At 33.6% G+C, this 18,779-nt stretch overlaps 1 protein-coding gene across 4 annotated transcripts in view; it reads left to right on the top strand.

The window, feature by feature from the left end:
- Positions 1 to 18,779, top strand: part of LRP1B (LDL receptor related protein 1B) — a 1,899,594-nt gene that overhangs the window by 1,407,833 nt on the left and 472,982 nt on the right. For all 4 annotated transcript variants that reach the window (NM_018557.3, XM_017004341.2, XM_017004342.1 and 1 more), the window contains 2 exons: positions 6,368 to 6,502; positions 7,082 to 7,211. In NM_018557.3, coding sequence (NP_061027.2) covers positions 6,368 to 6,502; positions 7,082 to 7,211 — 265 coding nt within the window. The remainder of the gene's footprint in view (positions 1 to 6,367; positions 6,503 to 7,081; positions 7,212 to 18,779) is intronic.

The raw sequence follows: 18,779 nt of genomic DNA, 5'->3' as shown, positions 1-18,779 counted from the left end.
ACACATGATATTTATAAAAGACTCATCAAAAAAGCAAGTATCTTGGGATTTTCCTCTCTCAAACACTCTTAGCATTGATGAAGAAGATGAAATGATAAACTTCCCTTTACTATTTTATTTCATTTTATTTATTTATTTTTTGAGACAGAGTCTCGCTCTGTCACCCAGGCTGGAGTGCAGTGGCGCGATCTCGGCTCACTGCAATCACTGCCTCCCGGGTTTACACCATTCTCCTGTCTCAGCCTCCCGAGTAGCTGGGAATACAGGCGCCCGCCAACATGCCCGGCTAATTTTTTGTATTTTTAGTAGAGATGGAGTTTCACCATGTTAGCCAGGATGGTTTCGATCTCCTGACCTCGTGATCCTCCTGCCTCGGCCTCCCAAAGTGTTGGGATTACAGGCGTGAGCCACTGCGCCCGGTCCCCTTTACTATTTAATAATAGTTTATCTTGCTTTTATTACTAATTTTACTACTAATAAACAACTTATTATTAAACAGTAAAGGGAAGCTTTACATTCTAAAGTCATTGCTTATTTGAAGCTGCTCATTTGCCCCTTATCTGGTAAAGTGAGCACTATCAGCCAAGGTAGATAAGCATGTTGAACTAGTTTCTGAAAATAAGAGAATATTCAGAATTTCTGGCCTGTCCAACTGTACTAAGAGGTATTAATGGTTGAATTAGCCAGATATGAAGGGGAGAGTAGAGTTCAACAATAGTTGAAAAAAGTATAGATTCTAGATTCTTAATTAGGAGAGCATTGAGATAATTAATGCATTAAAATAAACCCTATCTACTAAAGGTATCACTCATATATCTCAGCAATTTTACCTCCGGGTAGGTATCCAGTAGAAATGATAGTGTATGTCTCTTCTAAGACATGGAAAATAAAGAATTTTCATAGCATTAGTTGTAACAGACAGAAATTGAACATAACCTCAATGTTCAAAATGGATAAATAATTTGTGGCATTTTCACACCATGGAAAAGGAAGACACTTTCAACAGAAAAGATGAATCTAATGGTCATAATTTTGAATGAAAGAACAGGCCAAAGAGTACATACTGTAATTTACCATTTATCAAAACATTTTAAAGAAAACTAATCTAAGGTAGTAGAAGTCAAAATAGCGGCTGCCCACAGGGGAAGAGAAGAGATACTCCCAGAAGACACAGAGGAGTCTGTGTGATGCTATCAGTGATCTATATCTTGATCAAGGTAGTGGTTACATGGTTGTGTTCCATATGTAAAAGTTCATCAAACTGTACACTTAAAATTTATATACTTAAATATATATACATTATAAATTACTAAGGCATGACAAAAAGGGAAACAATTTGCCTCAGAGGGAAGTCTCCTGCGGTATGTCAAAAGCCGAGGTGGACGGATCACGAGGTCAGGAGATCGAGACCATCCTGGCTAACATGGTGCTACCTCGTTTTTACTAAAAATACAAAAAAAAAAAAAAAAATAGCCGGGTGTGCTGGTGGGCGCCTGTATTCCCAGCTACTCAGGAGGCTGAGGCAGGAGAATGGCATGAACCTGGGAGGCGGAGCTTGCAGTGAGCCAAGATCGCACCACTGCACTCCAGGCTGGGCGACAGAGTGAAACTCCTTCTCAAAAAAAAAAAAAAAAAAAAAAAAAAAAAGTGCATCTTTGATCCAATTCAACACATTTATCACTAGCTTGAATCAAGATGAAGAAAACCTACATATCAAATTTGTGGATATCACAACAAAGTTTCATTGTATAACATATAATTTTTTTAAATGTCAACAGGCAGGATCCATGATCCCATTTAACAAGCTGACATTTAATAGGATAAATGTAAAGTCCTGTAGTTTAAAAAGAAATGTGACATAAAAGCCACGAGTAGCATGTTCTGGGAAAAATCATATGCTTTATCATTTTTAGAATCAGACAAACAGAGCTAATTAAAGTGAACAAAAACTACAGGGGAAAAAGAAGATCTTCATAACAGCTAAAATTGGACCATACATTGAGATATTGTATTCCCTTTATGTGCAAGCGAAAAATAAAAGCATTAGAAGATCATAGCCAGAAGAGATCCTAAAGGTTATCTAAATTCTGCCTTCTGTTATTTAAATACATAGATGTACTTTTTACATGAATATATTTATATTTTTATTCATATTTATATATGAGGAAAATGGGGGATGAAGAAAAAGCAACTTTGTGAAATGTTCATGGTAAATGCAGAACAGTGATAAGAACCCAGCCCTAGACTCCTTGTTTTCTACCCTGTTATTATATCTTCCTAGTGTGCTGGTGATTATTTTAGGACAGAGCATCATGGTAAGCATATATATTATATTTTACCTGGCATATTTTTATATATTTATGCTGTTTTCTGAAATAGAATGTACATTTATGCCAGAAAACATAACTGAATTTTCTAGGACCTAAAAGCCCATAATAACGTAGAGTAGAGTGTTTTCACAGAAGGTGGTCAACAAGTGTTTGTTAATTAATCATAAGAATACAGACAAGGGTGAAATATCTTTAAAACACTTTTATTTCCTTTTTCTTATTATCAGACAGAACCCTGCATGATTTAGTCTCTAAATACCCAGGGAAAACTTTTCTCCCAACTAAAAAATGTAATATTTCTCATTGTCAAAAGGTCTTTCCTTGTTTTACAGATAAATATCATTGTAGCAATATATGGTTTTCCCTTTAATTCTGAATTTAATTATAATTATAATGCACAATAGCTGGCTGCCGATTTCCCTATATGGTAATTCTTGAAAATGGCTTCAAAGACTCATATTTGTCTTATTATATCTGTAGAGATGTAATTATAATTGTTATTATCTTAAATTACAAATTCTATTTTACAATCCTGTAATTATATTATACATTACCAAATTACCATATGTCTTAAGATAGTTTATTTTTAATTTTACTCTAGAATGTAAACTACATGATTATAGAGATAGTGTCTGTTAGATCACCACCATATTTTATGCCTACAGTAATTCTTAGCACAAACTAAGAATTCCATAAGTATCTATTGAATGGAGGTACTTAAGAAATATATTTGGAAATAAGTATCAGGACATGGTTCTGAAAATCTTCTCTTTCTATCTTTGCAACTATCTCCATTTTGTATCTTTACAATTTGTTGTAAAATGTTATCCTCCTTCAACCTGATTCTTTTCCTAATTAAAACATTCTTTACCTACTTTGTGTTTATTTTGCAGATACTCCAAGATATTAGAAAACATGTTTTCCTATCTTAGCAAACATTTGGTCTAGTGTGTGTTTGTGTGGGTATACAACATATATGTGAAAAAATTGATAAGGAAAGGGATTTGGGTATCAATGTGTGATTTAATTCTTCTATACTCTTGGTTCTCCTTAATGCATCATCACATGATTAATTTACTCACCAATTTCCCAAATGTACCTAATAGAAAGGATACGAGAAAATATGTTAGTTCCTCAATGCTGTGATCTCATGGTCTTGACCATTTAGAGATAGCTTCAGTATTACAAACTACCTATAGTACATGTGACTATATTGAGAAAATTTGGGTGAGATGCAGTCCTTATCCATGAAATATTTAATGGTCTAGTTCTAGGAAGAAATGCAAAAATGCAATTTCAGTTCAATATGACAAAGATATGTTCAAGATGTCATGGTGTATATGGGAAGGAATGATTTATGATTATATATTGACTAAAATTTTGCAGTACTGACAAAGGTATTAGAAAGTAATATGAAATGAAGGGGTACCTTTTTTTTTTTATTGTAAAGATTGTCCTGATTTTCTTCTTTGAATTCCTGCAAAAATACTTGCCTGTATGGCTTACATGTTGCTCATCTTACACAATTTCTGGTTGTTAGCCATTTCTTCATGTGTATACCTTCTGTTCCTTAATGAGCTAAAAAGCATTTTTATGGCAAGAGATGTGTTTTCTTTGTATCTGCCTCCCAACCAGTCTTTATTCAGCATATCACATTACCTCATTACTCACTAAATGCTTACTTTGAGCTTATTATGTGCCAGAAAGTATTCCAGATAACCAGGGATAAAACAGCAAATGAAATAAAGTCCCAGCCCTCAAAGAAATTACATTCTGTGAGACAAAAGAGACACTCAACAAACAAACCAACAAATATATAATGTGTTTGATAATGATAAGTGCTACGGAGGAAAATACATTTTGGTGAGAGAGAATAGAGCATGGTAAAAGAATAATTTTTGTAGAATAGGCAGGAAAGTTTCAATAAGAAGGGGATATTTGAGCTAAGACAGCTGAGATATCTTGGGGAAAAACGTTCAAGACAAAAAGAAAAAAAAATATGTGAAGACTCTTGTACTGAAGAATATTTTATTTTAGGAACAGGAAGATCTATTACTAGAGATGGGTAAGTGAGGGGAAGTGTGGAAGAAAATTAGGCGAGGGAGGATTGGAGGGAGTTGGTAGATCATGAAACTCATGAGAAGGAACTTTAATTTTACCTTGGATGAGATGGGAAGTGACTAGAGAGTTTGGTGCGAGACAGCGGAGAGAAATTCTTATTTACATTTTTTTTTCCTTTGGGAATTTCTCCATTCTAACTTATTTATATTTTAAAAGTATATCTGTAGCTATACTTTTCTAAGCGGCAAAGCAAGACTCATGTGGAAAGGGAAAAGTGGTAGCTAGGCAACAAATTAGAAGGCTGTTGCAAGACTTCAGGCAATAGTGGTTATTGGTTTAGTTACAACATAAGTAGTAGACAGTATGACGTGGTTGGATAATAGATATGTATTGAAAGAAGAAAAAAGTGAACAAAAAATGCTTGGTAATGGATTAAATATGAGAGTATCTGGTGATTGATTAGAAGTGGTGCATGTGCAAACATAATCAGGACAATCCCGATGCTTTTAGTCTAAGAAACAGAGGATGGAGGTGCCAACTATCACACCACCGTGGAAAGGGGAGTTGTCAGGCAGAAGACTTCAGGAGAAGCATATTTCATTGAGAATTTGTCCATTGTACATCAAGATTGCTTTATCTACAAACAAGCAGAGAAACAAAGGAGACAGTTGGACGTATAAGTCTAATGTTTAGGGAAGAAAATTAGACTCAACATACAATGCTTAATATTTATGCAAAAATAAGATTTATTTTTGTTGATTGATTCCCTGGTACAATAATGAAAAAATGTGAATTGATGTTTTTACCAAATGAGAAAATCAAACAAATCCTTGCTTTCTAGACATATATTTGGATAGGGTATCTCTGCTCTGCTGCAAACAATTGTGTGTCTGACTTAACCATTGCTGAGAACAGGGATTATTTGGAATCTTTTCCTGAACTGGTAAAAGTAAAGACTATATTTCATTTGAAACAGAACCTCAAAGCTTGCTGATAAATGGCTTTATTATACTAATTGCATTTTCTTTATTTTCATAGTCTGTCAGTGTGCCAGAGGGAAATTTTATTGGTCTTAAAGGATTTATTCTTCAAATGGCCATGTAGGTCGCAACACAAAAACGTACTTAGTTGCTGGCAAATTTATTATTTAATGATTCTTCCCCAGTGTCTTTCTGGTGGCTGTGTTTAAAATCATTGGCCTGTAATTACTACCCTTTATGCATATGCATGCACATATATTTCATTTATAGTCTTTAGACACATTTTTCATTCAAGTATTCAAAAAGTACTCTTATATAAAGACTCTGTGATCACATAGAACAATTCTTCAAGTATTCTCAAGCCCATTTGGACAATGAGAGTTTGAAAAATAATGTAAGGGTCTTGTAGTTGACATTTAAGAAACTCGTACCTTAGAAGGAATAATCGGATTATAAGGCATTTTTAAGACTTTGTACTTTCTGAGTGGCCTTATGCTTAAAACACTCTTGATATAATTGAAATGCTCTTATGTTTCTTTCTGTCCTCTCTCTACTTTGAGGTTTTGTTGAGTTGATTTTCCCTAGTAGTATTCATTTTAATAGGAGATTCAGACATAGGTATAGCTGTGAAGAGAAAAACTGTGGTCCAAAATAACATGGTTTGGAATCAAAGCTGCAAATTCATGCAGGATAAGGATTTATTGAGTTAAAATAAGTAGAGAAATTAATAAAAACAATAAACAATGCAATAGATTATTTCTATAATATTTCAAAAAATACTTCAAAAATCATTTGACTGAAATATAAGTTCTTTCATGTTCTTTTCATGCTTTTTTTTTACTATTTATATTAGTAAATTATCCTGAAGAATACTTAAAAATCTAGCATACCCAGGATGATATCCTAAAAGATACTGTTGCAATATGATCCTAACACCGATATTGATACCTTTTACAGTGTGTGTATATGTATTTTTTTTCTGTGTCTTATCCATAGAAAATGATACCATCTACTGGACAGACATGGGCTTCAATAAAATTAGCAGAGCTAAAAGAGATCAGACTTGGAAAGAAGATATCATTACCAATGGCTTGGGAAGAGTGGAAGGGATAGCTGTTGACTGGATTGCTGGTATAATCCATGGCTTTTTATCTTTCTGTTTCACACCTATTTTGTTAGGGGCTCAAACTGCTTCATAAAAAATCTTTTCTAACTCATAACAGTGCTTTTATTTGTACTTCTAGCCACAGGGGTAAATAGTCTCTTTTGCTTTTGGCTTCGCTCCTTCTAATGTTTTTGAGCCTTTGGATAAGTTTTTTTATGTAGAAGTAGATTATGTAGTGTTAACTTTGCCCAAATCTCCTGAGAGCTCCAGAAGGCAGGTAAACAAGTGTTAGAAGTTCTCTTTTGCCTGAAGTCAGTAGAAAGTTAAAATAGGTATTTTCTTTAGGTAGGAGAAGTTTCAACTTCGTTTTACCATGTAAATATATCATTATATGGTTTAAACCAGAGGTGTGTGAGATTAGGATTGAAAGTATTTGCATATTAGTTTATTTACAGCTTTCTGCTTAGGAAACACATTTAAAAAGAATGTAGGAAGTAAACAGTTTCTTGATAGTTATGTGAATGCTCAGAAATTTAATTTTAGTCATGACAAATACATTTTTTTTCTCAAAACTGTATTATAAACACCTCTATTATTTCTCCTAGGTAACATATATTGGACAGATCATGGTTTCAACTTAATTGAAGTTGCAAGACTCAATGGTTCTTTCCGTTATGTAATTATTTCCCAAGGCCTGGATCAACCAAGATCTATAGCTGTGCACCCAGAGAAAGGGTAATTTTAAGATTTACGTATATCTTCCAAGTTTTATGTGAGTTTTCTAAGTTCTATTGAAAAAAAACTAATTACTTTTAGCTGTAATGTCTGAGACAAAATCAAGAATATCTTACCTAAGCAGAAAAAAATGTTTATATTCACTTTGTTCATATAATTTAGTACATATTCGATGAAGTCACATTTATTACAGATTTATTTTATGTGTGTGTAAATCCAAATAAAGGCACCAACATGATTCCAGATTCTCAATTTAAATCTCTTCCTTAGAATTGTTTACATAATTAGGTATTCAATTATTTATTGAATTAGTAAAATAGCCATTTGATAGCCCTCTTTGCTCTCCAATATTTCTAAAATTTCAATATTCATTCATGTGTCTGTGGTTGTCAAACATGTTCATCCCAAACTTTTGTTTTCTTCTCCTTCCTTTTACTTCTTTTTTTGTTTTGTTTTGAGTTCTAAATAAGTATAACTAACTGTTTTGACATTTTCATCTGGATGCTTCATGAGTACCCAAAATGTATATATATAAAACTGAAACGAATTTAATCTGCCACCAAGTTATGCTTAGTTTTTCTTCTAAATAAATCTATTAGCAATCCAACACCCTCTATCTTTATCTTTACCCTAATTAAATTTGATATTATCTTATATACTGCAATAACATCCCAGTCTGTCTCCTAAACTCACCAAAGCCTAGAGTGATTTTTTTTTAATATACATCTGCTTACTTAAAATCTTTCAAGGAATTTCTATTGCTTTATGTGTAAAGTCCAAAGCCTCTGTTATGATCCTTCTTAATCAGACCCTATAATAATTTTCAGTCTGAAACTCCTGTTACTCTCTTTTTCCTTTCACAATCAATCTCTGTTGGTCTTCTCTTAATTTTTAAAATATTTCTTATTCTATTCCACTTCCAGCCTTTGCCAACCTCTTCCTTTTACCTGCAATGCTCTTCTTATATTTTTGTCTTGTTAAATTTTATTTGACCTTATTTGGCTTTGAAAATAGTTTAGATTGTTGTATGGCCCCATAAGCACCTAGTATTTTTATTGTATACATTATTTGTACTAATATTTATTGATTTGCCTGGTAGCTGTACGTGTTCTTGTTTGTTTTTGAGACAGCCTGTCATTCTGTTGCCTAGGCTGGAGCGCAGTGGTGCAATCACAGTGTTGGACTTACAGGCATGAGCCACCGTGCCTGGCTGTAATAAATTATTATAGCCTTAAAGGAGAAAATTTGACCAGTTGCTTCACTGTGAATCATTATTCTAAGGCAAGAAGGAATATAATTTGAAAGTTATGCAATCCCATAGATACACTGGAAATGGATGTTTAGTTTGTTTCTAATAAAGAATTTATTTGCTTCATAGTTGCAATAAGTCCATTTATATTATATAGAACCTCTTGTGTCTACCCTATTATAGATTCATACAGCTTAATTTAACAAGCCTTTTGCTGCTACATGTCAATCTGTGGATTTTCTTTTCATTTCTTATTCAAATCCATTGTAGACCCTTAAGCTGATATCCCAGAGCTTCTTTTTCTTAAGTACCTCTTATCTCTCCACATCCATCTTAGCCTATGACTACACCTACTTGTCTCTAGCTTGATTCAGAATATTAGGCAAAAGAATCTTCATATACTCTAGTTTTTATCAATTTATTCAATTAACGTTTATTGAGTGCTAGGCACTGTGAGCTAGGACATGTCAGCATCCCTCCATGTCATCCTCAGCCTTCAATTCAGTACATCTTGACAAAATACAAGTACATATGAAAGACACTTGTAGACACTGTGAAGTATGCTGGCATGAATAAGATGTTGCCTCTATTCACAATGAGTTTTCTGTTTAAACTGAAAATTCAAACAAGTACACATTTCAGTTAAAGGAATAGTGTCACTTTGTAAAGACTTATTTTCAGGCACAATAAAAGACTAATTGATCAAACTCAAATTTAAAGCTCATATCCAAATGTCATGTTGAAGTAGTAAGTTTCATAAGATCACTATAAAATTATCTTGGGTTTAATGCAAAAATCATACCATATAATTAGAGCAGGTAGTAAAAATGAGGGTGGTAGCAGCAATAATAGTGATTAGTAGAAGCTTTGTGGAGGAGGCTGCAAGGGAAAGGAGGTTTCTGAGATGGGGTAGGTATATATTATATGAAGAAGAAATAGAATAATTAAAGATTTGGTAGTGACAAAGCAAAAGCCATCAGCAAGAGTGTAGGTACACGAGGTACACATAGGGAAGAGTAGGTGATGTGTCTGGAAGACAACTTGGGTCTGTATAATTGTTGGTAGGACTCCCTATATATTTTTAAAAAATTGCCAGGGTCATGCCTTCTCCAGTTTACCAAGTGAACTCCAAACCAGTCCTGGACCCTCTCTCCTCAGCCTTCCCTTGGCCTCAAACAACATACAGAAGCTAAGATCAGAGTTGTGATGTGAGTTTATCGAAGTTGTAACATTCTTTAACATAAAGAATCTTTAAGAATGGTAATTTATCATCCCTGTGGATTAGACAAAAGGGTTCTTTCCCTTCCCTCAAGCCAAGTAATGGAGAGAGCTCAAGACAAATATGTAAGAGGGAGGCTAAAATAAAGAGAAAATAGCAGTAAATGAAAAAAAAAAAAATTCTATACCTTTTTCACTGCAAATCCCAATACCAAAGGGAGTCAGGTCAAATTTGGAGAGAGGGAAGAGAATGTGCTCTAAAATTAATCTTAACTGTATGATACTGTTCATTTAATGGTAATTGGCTGGGAAGTTATGGGATCTTTCTGAGACAGCCAAGTTTGGAGAGGAAATACTCAGTAAAGCATACATGGAATCAGTAGTTGGATAAATATAAAGTCACTTCTTACTTATTCCAACAGAATTCAGGCTCTGTAATAAGCTGCGATAGTGTACGAGGTTACCCAAGAAAGAGTGCCAAAAAAAGAAGTCTAATAACAAAAATGAAGAATGCTTATAGTTAGGGGATAGAATGACTAGGAGAGAGAAAAAAAAGAACAACAACAACAACAGCAACAAAAACAGCCATTTGAGGCTTTGGAAATTACTGAACTGTAAAAGTCAAGGGAAGAGAGTTTAAGGAAGAACAGTGTGCCAGCAATAAAGAGATCAGGAGAGAGAAAAAAAGCAGAGAACAGAACATGTAACTGGTGATGAGGATGGTATTGCATATTTTTATCAATTTCAGAAGATGAGTAAGGACAGAAGCCAAATATAAAGAGTAGACAAAAGAATAATTAGAAAGTGGAGCTAGCATATACAGAATAAACTGATGCAAACTGGGTGATGAAGGGAAAGAGGAGAAATAGAAGATAAGTTGAGAAGATTGTAGAGTATAAGGTTTTTCTTAGTATGGGGATATTGCACATATTCATAGGCAAAGGGGAAATAAACTGGTTGGAAGAAAGAGGATGGAAATGAACGTAAAGGGGAGACAAATTCCAGGGAGCATAGGAGGAGCCTTGACAAGGGAGAAACAATAGGGCAGAGCAGGAGGAATCACAGACAGAAAGCAGGGAGGCAAGATTTGTATCTTACATTAGGTATCCCAGAAAGAGATTCTAGGATGGGAAGTCAACTCAGGACCTGAAAGCATAGTCAGTCGAAAAGGGGAAGAAAGAGATCAAGCAAATATTTAATTTTGAACATAATCTTGGCCTCAGACTGATTCCTGGAGGGACTCTAGAGTCTAAACTTTACCTTACAGTGACGGAACTTGGTATTCAGATTCCCAAGTAGTCAGCCAGTGGATAAGGACCACTCCGGGAAAACAGACACTCTCAAAATTTCTGACTTTCAGCACTTGTGGGAGAAGAGATTCAAGTGGCCCCAGGATAATCCTCCAAAGAAAATTGTCTGTGTGAGCTGTTAGGGACAAAGGTCATTTGAGAGCTCAGAAATGGTAAACAGCATCTGAGGATGTTTATATGGAGCACAGACGGTGTCCATTACAGTTTGGAATCCCCACTTAGACATTTACTATTTTTACATTTGCCTTTGAGGTATTTCTAAACTTCTTGGTCTCAAATGCCTATATCCTTTTAGTTAATTGGGAGGATTAAATGAGGTGGGTGCTAGTTCTCTTCCCCTTCGGGGATGGAGTGAAAGAAAAGATAGAATGCGGAGATCAAATGTATTTTAGAGGTTAAATTGATGAAATTGAAGAAAGTCACAGCTGCTAGTCTGTATTTCTAAGGTTATCAGCTTAAAAGTGAATAGGTTAAGTTTTGCTGAAGCTATTGTAGCAAATATTTTCCACAATAATGAATCAAATAATTTTCCAGCAACATGAGACTAGCCAGGATGGATTTCTAGAATCTAAGCAGGAATTTTATATGACATTGAATAATAACACTTGATAATGTACGGGTAGTAAAGAAAAGAAAAAGAAAACATGTACCAAAAAGGAGAAAAAAGGTTATAGATCAAAGTTGGCAGTTATAATGGGTTAACTTTGAGTTACCAATCAGGCGGTGAGGCCTGCAAGCTAGTGATGGAATAGTGGGAAGTCAAGAGTAGACCAGGGTAAGAGTAGAGAGATAAGGTCCAGCTGGTATGAGTGACCAACACAGCTCTATGAATTAAGAGAGGGTGATTCTAGGTAGGTCCCTGGAGCAATAAAGATGAGGTACTATGAGCTTGGGTGTTTCTATGTCATTAAATTCCATAGAATGTCAGCAGTGGAAGGAGAAGATGAAAAATCTGCCAGCCAGTGGTAAAGCAATAAATAAATGGTGTGTAATTGTGACAGGTGATAATGCAGTCAAGGAAAAGAGAATATGTGAATTAATGCTGTAAATGTTTAAGTGAGTATAACCTCAGAAAAAGGTTTCCTTCTTCCTTAAAACGACTTCTCTACTTTTATTCTGGATATAAATGTCTCCTCAGACATTTCATGCAAAAATCATTCTCTTCTATTTTACCAACCTTAATTTGTTCCTTTCAATGAAGCCTTTCCCTTTTGCTTTCAGATAGGCTCAGGTCACTCTCATTAGATAACACATTACTAATGTCATTACTTTCCACATGTTTTCTTCTCAACTTCTCAGAATCATGATCTATATCCATTGTCTCATCATTGAACTCCTAAAATGGGTTTCAGCTTCTGTTGTTACACAGGAGTTTCTAAATTTATTTGCCGCTACATCCAGAGATGATTATTATTATTTTTGCAGGTTTTATACCATTTGCCTTCTCCAGGACAGTTTTCTCCACTGATAGTCCATCCAAGAATTCCTTTTTTTCTTTAGCCTTCTCTGACCCTGCATTTTCTGGTTCTCTCTGAGGCTACTCTATATAGCTCCTGTGAGCATTATATTTTATTCTCTTTATTCTCATTTAAGACTTTGTGTGCCATTCTCTCTCTTATTATATTTATCTTTTAAACCCATCTAATCCCATGTTTTTAAAATGTAAATCATGCATATATAGTGAAATATAAAAATATAATAAATATATGCAAAATAGTAATAAAATATCTTCACCCCTTTATTTATATTTCTGATATCCTTTACAGTTATTTATTTGGATGTCTGTCACTGAAACTTAACATGTCCTCCTACCTCTCATCTGTTGCCTTCCTTTCTTAAATATGATATCTCTTTTCCTGTTGTCACAAAAGAGGTTGAAACTTTAGATTTTCCAGTATTTTTTCATCACCTATTTCCATCTGTCAACAAGTCTCCTCATTTCTTTGCTCCAGATGTTTGTCAGATTTTTTTTATTTCTCTCCATTGCAACTACCAGCTCAGCACTGACTCAGCAGGAGGATCTCAGTAAATATTTTTGATTTCTTAATTTTGAGCTCTCAAAATGAGAATTGTATGTGAGTCCACAAAACAAGAAATCTTTGACATATGTAGCAATATTTAAATATTATTTACTTCGTCTTAAAAGCATTTTAAAAATATTATGTCACACGGATAAACTTTTTCCATATTCATAGTTAAGAGTAGATACACTCATTTAAATGTTAAACTTGTTTCTAGGAAATATTTATTACGGCTTGGAAATATTAGAGATGTATGTCTCCCTACACTTTCTCCATATATTTATTGACTTGAATTTAGAGAGAAAATAAAAGACTTAAAAATGAAGATTCTTGTAAAATTATTCAAACACTGATTTCCAGCTAATATTATATAGACATTTAAGTGTCAAAATTTATATCATAGGAATAAAGTACAGTACTTTAATATTCTGTTTGAAGTTAAAACATGGCAGATGGTATTGCCAAGGGAAAATGTGAACCATAATGGAGTGAATTAGCTGAATTCAAAGTAAAAACATGCCTTGAAAAGTGGGCACAAATCCTGTTTTTAAACAATAGAGACTTGAGCTCTTTTAAAATGTAGCCAAATACAAAATAGGAATCATGTATGAGTTTAGTTTAGCTTAAAAAATCAGTTTCTTTCAGCTATCATTGACTCCTCCTCCTCCTCTTGTTCCTCCTCCTCCTCCTCCTCTTCCTCTTCCTCTTCTTCTTCTTCTTCTTCCTCCTGCTCCTCCTCCCCCTCCTCCTCTTCCGCCTCCTCCTGCTCCTGCTCCTCCTCTGGTATTACTTGCTTTGTGAAAATTGAAATGTAATAATTTTCTCCATGCTGAAAAGTCATTTAATACTAACAATGAAAAGATGTATAGGAAGCCCCATTAAGATGTTAAAAATTTTGATTAACTTCCCATGGTATATAATCTCTAACTGAAACACATACTGTAATTTTATTTCCTTTTAAGCACCAGGATACATGTTTTCTCTCTTAATTTAGCTCTGTATTTCTGTGACTGTAAATAATGTGCTGAAAAGTTTTTCTTTCCATGGCAAAGACTCAAATTAACATGGGATCTTGCTGTTTCAAAAGGTCTTTTTGATTATGTATATACTTTTTCAGTATGCTCAACAATATATAAAAGGTCTTGGTTGACAGTTTAACACCTGTTAAGACAACAACAGTGTAGTGTAGTTTAATACCATCTCTTAGAGTATATTTTGCATCTTAAAGCAAGGGAACACATATATAAAGGAAATGGAATAAATTTGATTTACCATAGGAATAATGCTGGTAAGATAGGTTGCAAGTCATGGAACAAATTAAAAACTTCTTTATAATATTTTGATAATTCTAAGTCAGCTCATGAGCTCTAGAAGTATAGGCTCTGGGCAGCTAGATGTTAAATATTTGGTAAATTCATAGTTATAGGAAAATATCAAATATATATTGAATGTACAAAAGTACATAAACATGGACTATTCAAGAAAATTATAAATGCAAACAAGCTAATATTATATATATGTACATGTATATGTTAAGTGTTTGTTTAAGTGAGAGGATGGGCAATGAGGCAGGGTGTAAACACATATATAAAATGAAAAATGAACTATAACATGGTGTAATATTTTTAATGTGCTATGAAATATTATATATGTGTGTATATATATATACATATATATAAATATTTTTTGTTTGTGAATAATTTCCGCTTCTCCAGTGTGTGCTCTTCATACACATAATAATTGTCCTATATAATTACTCAAAACTACAATGTAGTGAATCAAGAAAGGCTCAAATGTAAACTTAAGAATAGCAGACCAAGAAAGAAAGAAATTGACAAATAAGTTAAATAATTTTGAAGCTTAAACAGAAAGAACAACTCAAATGGCCTATATCTTTATTTTTGCCTAAAAGAAAAAAAAAATTCTGAAGTTGTTTACAGGAAAGACAACTTTTCTCACCACAACCCTTCAACATTATCATTGTTCAAGCCCCTACATTTATGACTTAAAGAGACTAGCAAATTTTAAGTATTTCTAATCAGCATTTTTCTCAGATACTAATTTACCCATTTGCCTCTGCCATTAACAATGGACTTTATGAGGGTACCTAAATCCGATTTATTTTGTATCATCAGCTCCTAGCACATAATAGATACCTAATGAAGTATTTGTTGATGAGTGCATGAGTACAGTGCAAGAATAAGTTTGAGAACCAACCACAAAACCAACAATAACAACAAAAAATTTGAAAAGTGCAGTAGTGTCCAAGGGTAGACTGGTTTTATATTTTCATCCTTTTAGCACAGGGTTCTGCTACCTGTGGTTGAGTGCTTTTTATATTACAGAATTCTTTAATCAATAGCAACATATTTAAGACTTGAAAAATGATTTGGGATAGGCCTGTAATACTTTCTCAGACAAAACTGTACGTAAATGAAGAAAAAGAAAATGTGAATAAGGCCTCACAGAAAAAGAGAACGCTCTACATTTCATTTTATTCCTCAGGAGATAAAAAATGTCCAATCATGTACTCATAAAATATATTCAAACTTTTATAATATTATCTTATTTTACTTATGATCTGAAGATGTAGCCATGGACATGTTGACTTATAGAGTATTCAGTTTGTATGAATTTTGAGTGATTCTAGTGCATCTGCTAAGAAATTGGAAATTACAAGCAGCTTTTGTCAAGTTAAAAGCTTATGCTCATGTAAAGGCTAGCTACTATTGTTCATCTGTAGGGTTTTTATTTGGCTTTCTTTTTTGTTTCTCTTACTTTTTGCAGATAGGGTAACTCACTGTTGACTCCCACGCTAGGAGACGACACAATGACATTCTCGATTCTTTTCTTGACCAAGGCCAACTGCCGACATAAGAGAATTACCTGATCTTCATTTCTGTGCCAGCATGAACATTTTTTGGTTATCTCAGGTTTTCTTTATCATATGTAACAAAGGATCTAAATCATACTCACTTAGGGAAGCCAGAAAAGTAGGAAGAAATGGCACATTTATTGTAAAAATTGCAACTCAAATTCGAGCTCTAGGGAAACAGTTTAGCAATCAAAGAAGAGAATTTTAAATCCAGAGAAAATGATTAATGCCAACTAGTCTTGCTTTTCACAACTGTTCACATATGTAGAGTATAAGGATAACATTTAATACTGTTTCTCTTAAAAAATAGACTTATTTATTATTTTCTTTCACTCCATTACCCTTCTCACACAAAAATCAGAGCTTTGTCACTAATGTTAGCTGTCTCAAATTTATTCATGGGCATTTATAATAATTTGAATGTGTATTTTTTCAGGTTGAGTATAACTGCCTGTGACAGGAAAAAAAAAAGTTTTTCCTGAAAAGTATACCTGTATCTAGACTAATTCTGATGTCAATCTGTACAGTTGTCAGAAGACAAATACAATTAACTTTCAGGGTCCATTAAGGGTTTGCTAGGCCTTTGGGCGCTCCAGTGCTACCAAATGTGATCTTTTTACCTATTTATCCAAATGTCAATAATCAGTTGGAAATTAACTCATGATATGTGCTCATTGCACTGTCTTCCTGCTCAAAACTGTTAGAGTCTAGTTAAGACAATAAAGACATTTGTATTATGACAGTTTCTGATAAAATTTCTATAATTCTGAAAGCCACTTTTAAATGTCCCTTTTAAAATTATATGTTTTTAAATTTATAAGTGCAAGCTTATTTAAATAAAGAACATTTTTTAGTTTAACAAATACTATTTTATTATTCAGATAAAATTCAGTTACACAATATAGCATTTGATTTGGACAAGTTTAATATTTTCTAGATTTCAGAAAGTATTTTTAGTAGGGCTACATGTGCCCATCTGATACTCTAAAATCAGTTTTTCTTGGCTATATCATATAGTGAACACGTTTTTCACAACTGCAAAATTTGAACTCAAATAGGTTCAAACTCAATAGTAATTTTGTCAGTCAATGTTAATATCAGTAGGGTCTGAACCTACTGGTCAAAAACCAGGGACAAATATTTTCATTTCTTCCTATTGCTAAAGACCACATTTAGATGCCAAGAATCTATGTTCATTAATGATATCTCAGGTGCATCTATGTAAGTTATTACCTTAAATTACAAGTCTCTTTCTGCAGTTTTACGAGCTTGGAGAGGGTTCTTTCTCTACATTTGGTTTATAATCCCCAAAGTTTCTCAAGGTGCAAATTCCATTCATTTCTTTACTTTCAATTTCAGTTTAAGGAGCAAATAAATTATTATTTGCTTGACATAAAATGTTTACTTAATTTTGATAGGATTAAAACCTTTTACTTTTATTCAGTTGATAAATTATTTAACTCTAAAAGTGAGTCCTACACAGAAAGATTTGGCTTCACATATAATGATACCATATCTAATCACTACTGTTTTCCACAGGAAAAGAATTGTGTAAATTCTGGATTAAAAAATAGTTTTACTTAGAATAATTTTATGCATTTTTTTTTACATTTATCTCAGCCTCTTGCATGAAAGTATCACAAATTTAAAATGAATAGGGGTTACTTGGAAAAAAAGAGAGTGACTTCTTTCTCAGAGCTAAGACCTTTTTCATATTTTGTTTTCTGTGTGTGTCTGTGTTTTTTTTTTTTTTTTTTTTTTTTTTTTTTTTTTTTTTTGAGACAGTCTCACTCTGTTCCCCATGCTGGAGTGCAATGGTGTGATCTTGGCTCACTGCGGACTCTGTGTCCCGGGTTCCAGTGATTCTCCTGCCTCAGCCTCCCAGGTAGCTGGGACTACAGGCACATGCCACCATGCTAGGCTAATTTTTGTATTTTTAGTAGAGAAGGGGTTTCACCATGTTGGCCAGGCTTGTCTCAAACTCCTTACCTCAAGTGATACGCCTGCCTCAGCCTCCCAAAGTGTTAGTATTACAGGTGTGAAGCCACTGTGCCAGGACTGTTTTTTGGTTTTAAATATGGAGATTTTTTGTTACGCATCTTATAGCTAAGGAAAAATAACATTTGATATAATATCATTATATATTTCTGTGTTATCTTTCTATTTGGTGAGACAGTGTATTCTAGGGAAGACAATATAGGCCTGGATTAGTAAAGCCTGAGTGTGGTTCTTGGCTTGCCCTCTTATTGGCCATGTGGACTGTGGATCATTTACTTCCTAGTCATAATTACCATAGCTGTGAGAATTAGGGCTAAGTAGGTTGGTTGCTACAAAAGTAATTGTGCTTTTTGCCATTACTTTTAATAGCAATAAACACATTTATTTGTGTACCAACCTATAAATAGCTTATTTGATCTGTTCACTCAAAATAATATTTTTATTAGTGCATTTGCAAGTAGATTAACATTAATTAAAATCTTTAATATGCACATTTCTTTTCTTATGTGAACTTTGGAATATGTTAAAAATAGATGATAAGAATCAGATTAGACAGGTAAGCACATGTCTGCCCTGGTCTCACAGTGCCTCCTTCACAGTATAACATTACCTGCCATTTTAATACATGTTTTTCCTTAAAAAGTTAAGTGTAGCAATACATTTCATTTGCGAGTTAGTTATTTTATATTGAATAATATTTTTCATCCACTGACAGCGTACCTTAAAGTCTTAAAAATCTTGACGTTAATAAAGGTGTAGATTTTTAAATGCCTGCTTCAATTATATCTTACCAATAAAATATTAGTTGGATTTTATGCTACAAAGTTTTTCCTTTCTGATTTATAAAGCTTGTAAATATGAATGAAATTTTCTTCAGGATTAATATAATTGAGATTG

The sequence above is a fragment of the Homo sapiens genome, chromosome 2 (assembly GCF_000001405.40).
Source record: "Homo sapiens chromosome 2, GRCh38.p14 Primary Assembly".
NCBI classification, from domain to species: domain Eukaryota; kingdom Metazoa; phylum Chordata; class Mammalia; order Primates; family Hominidae; genus Homo; species Homo sapiens.
The sequence above is the reverse complement of the archived record's forward strand: the minus strand, read 5'-3'. Positions and strand labels throughout refer to the sequence as shown.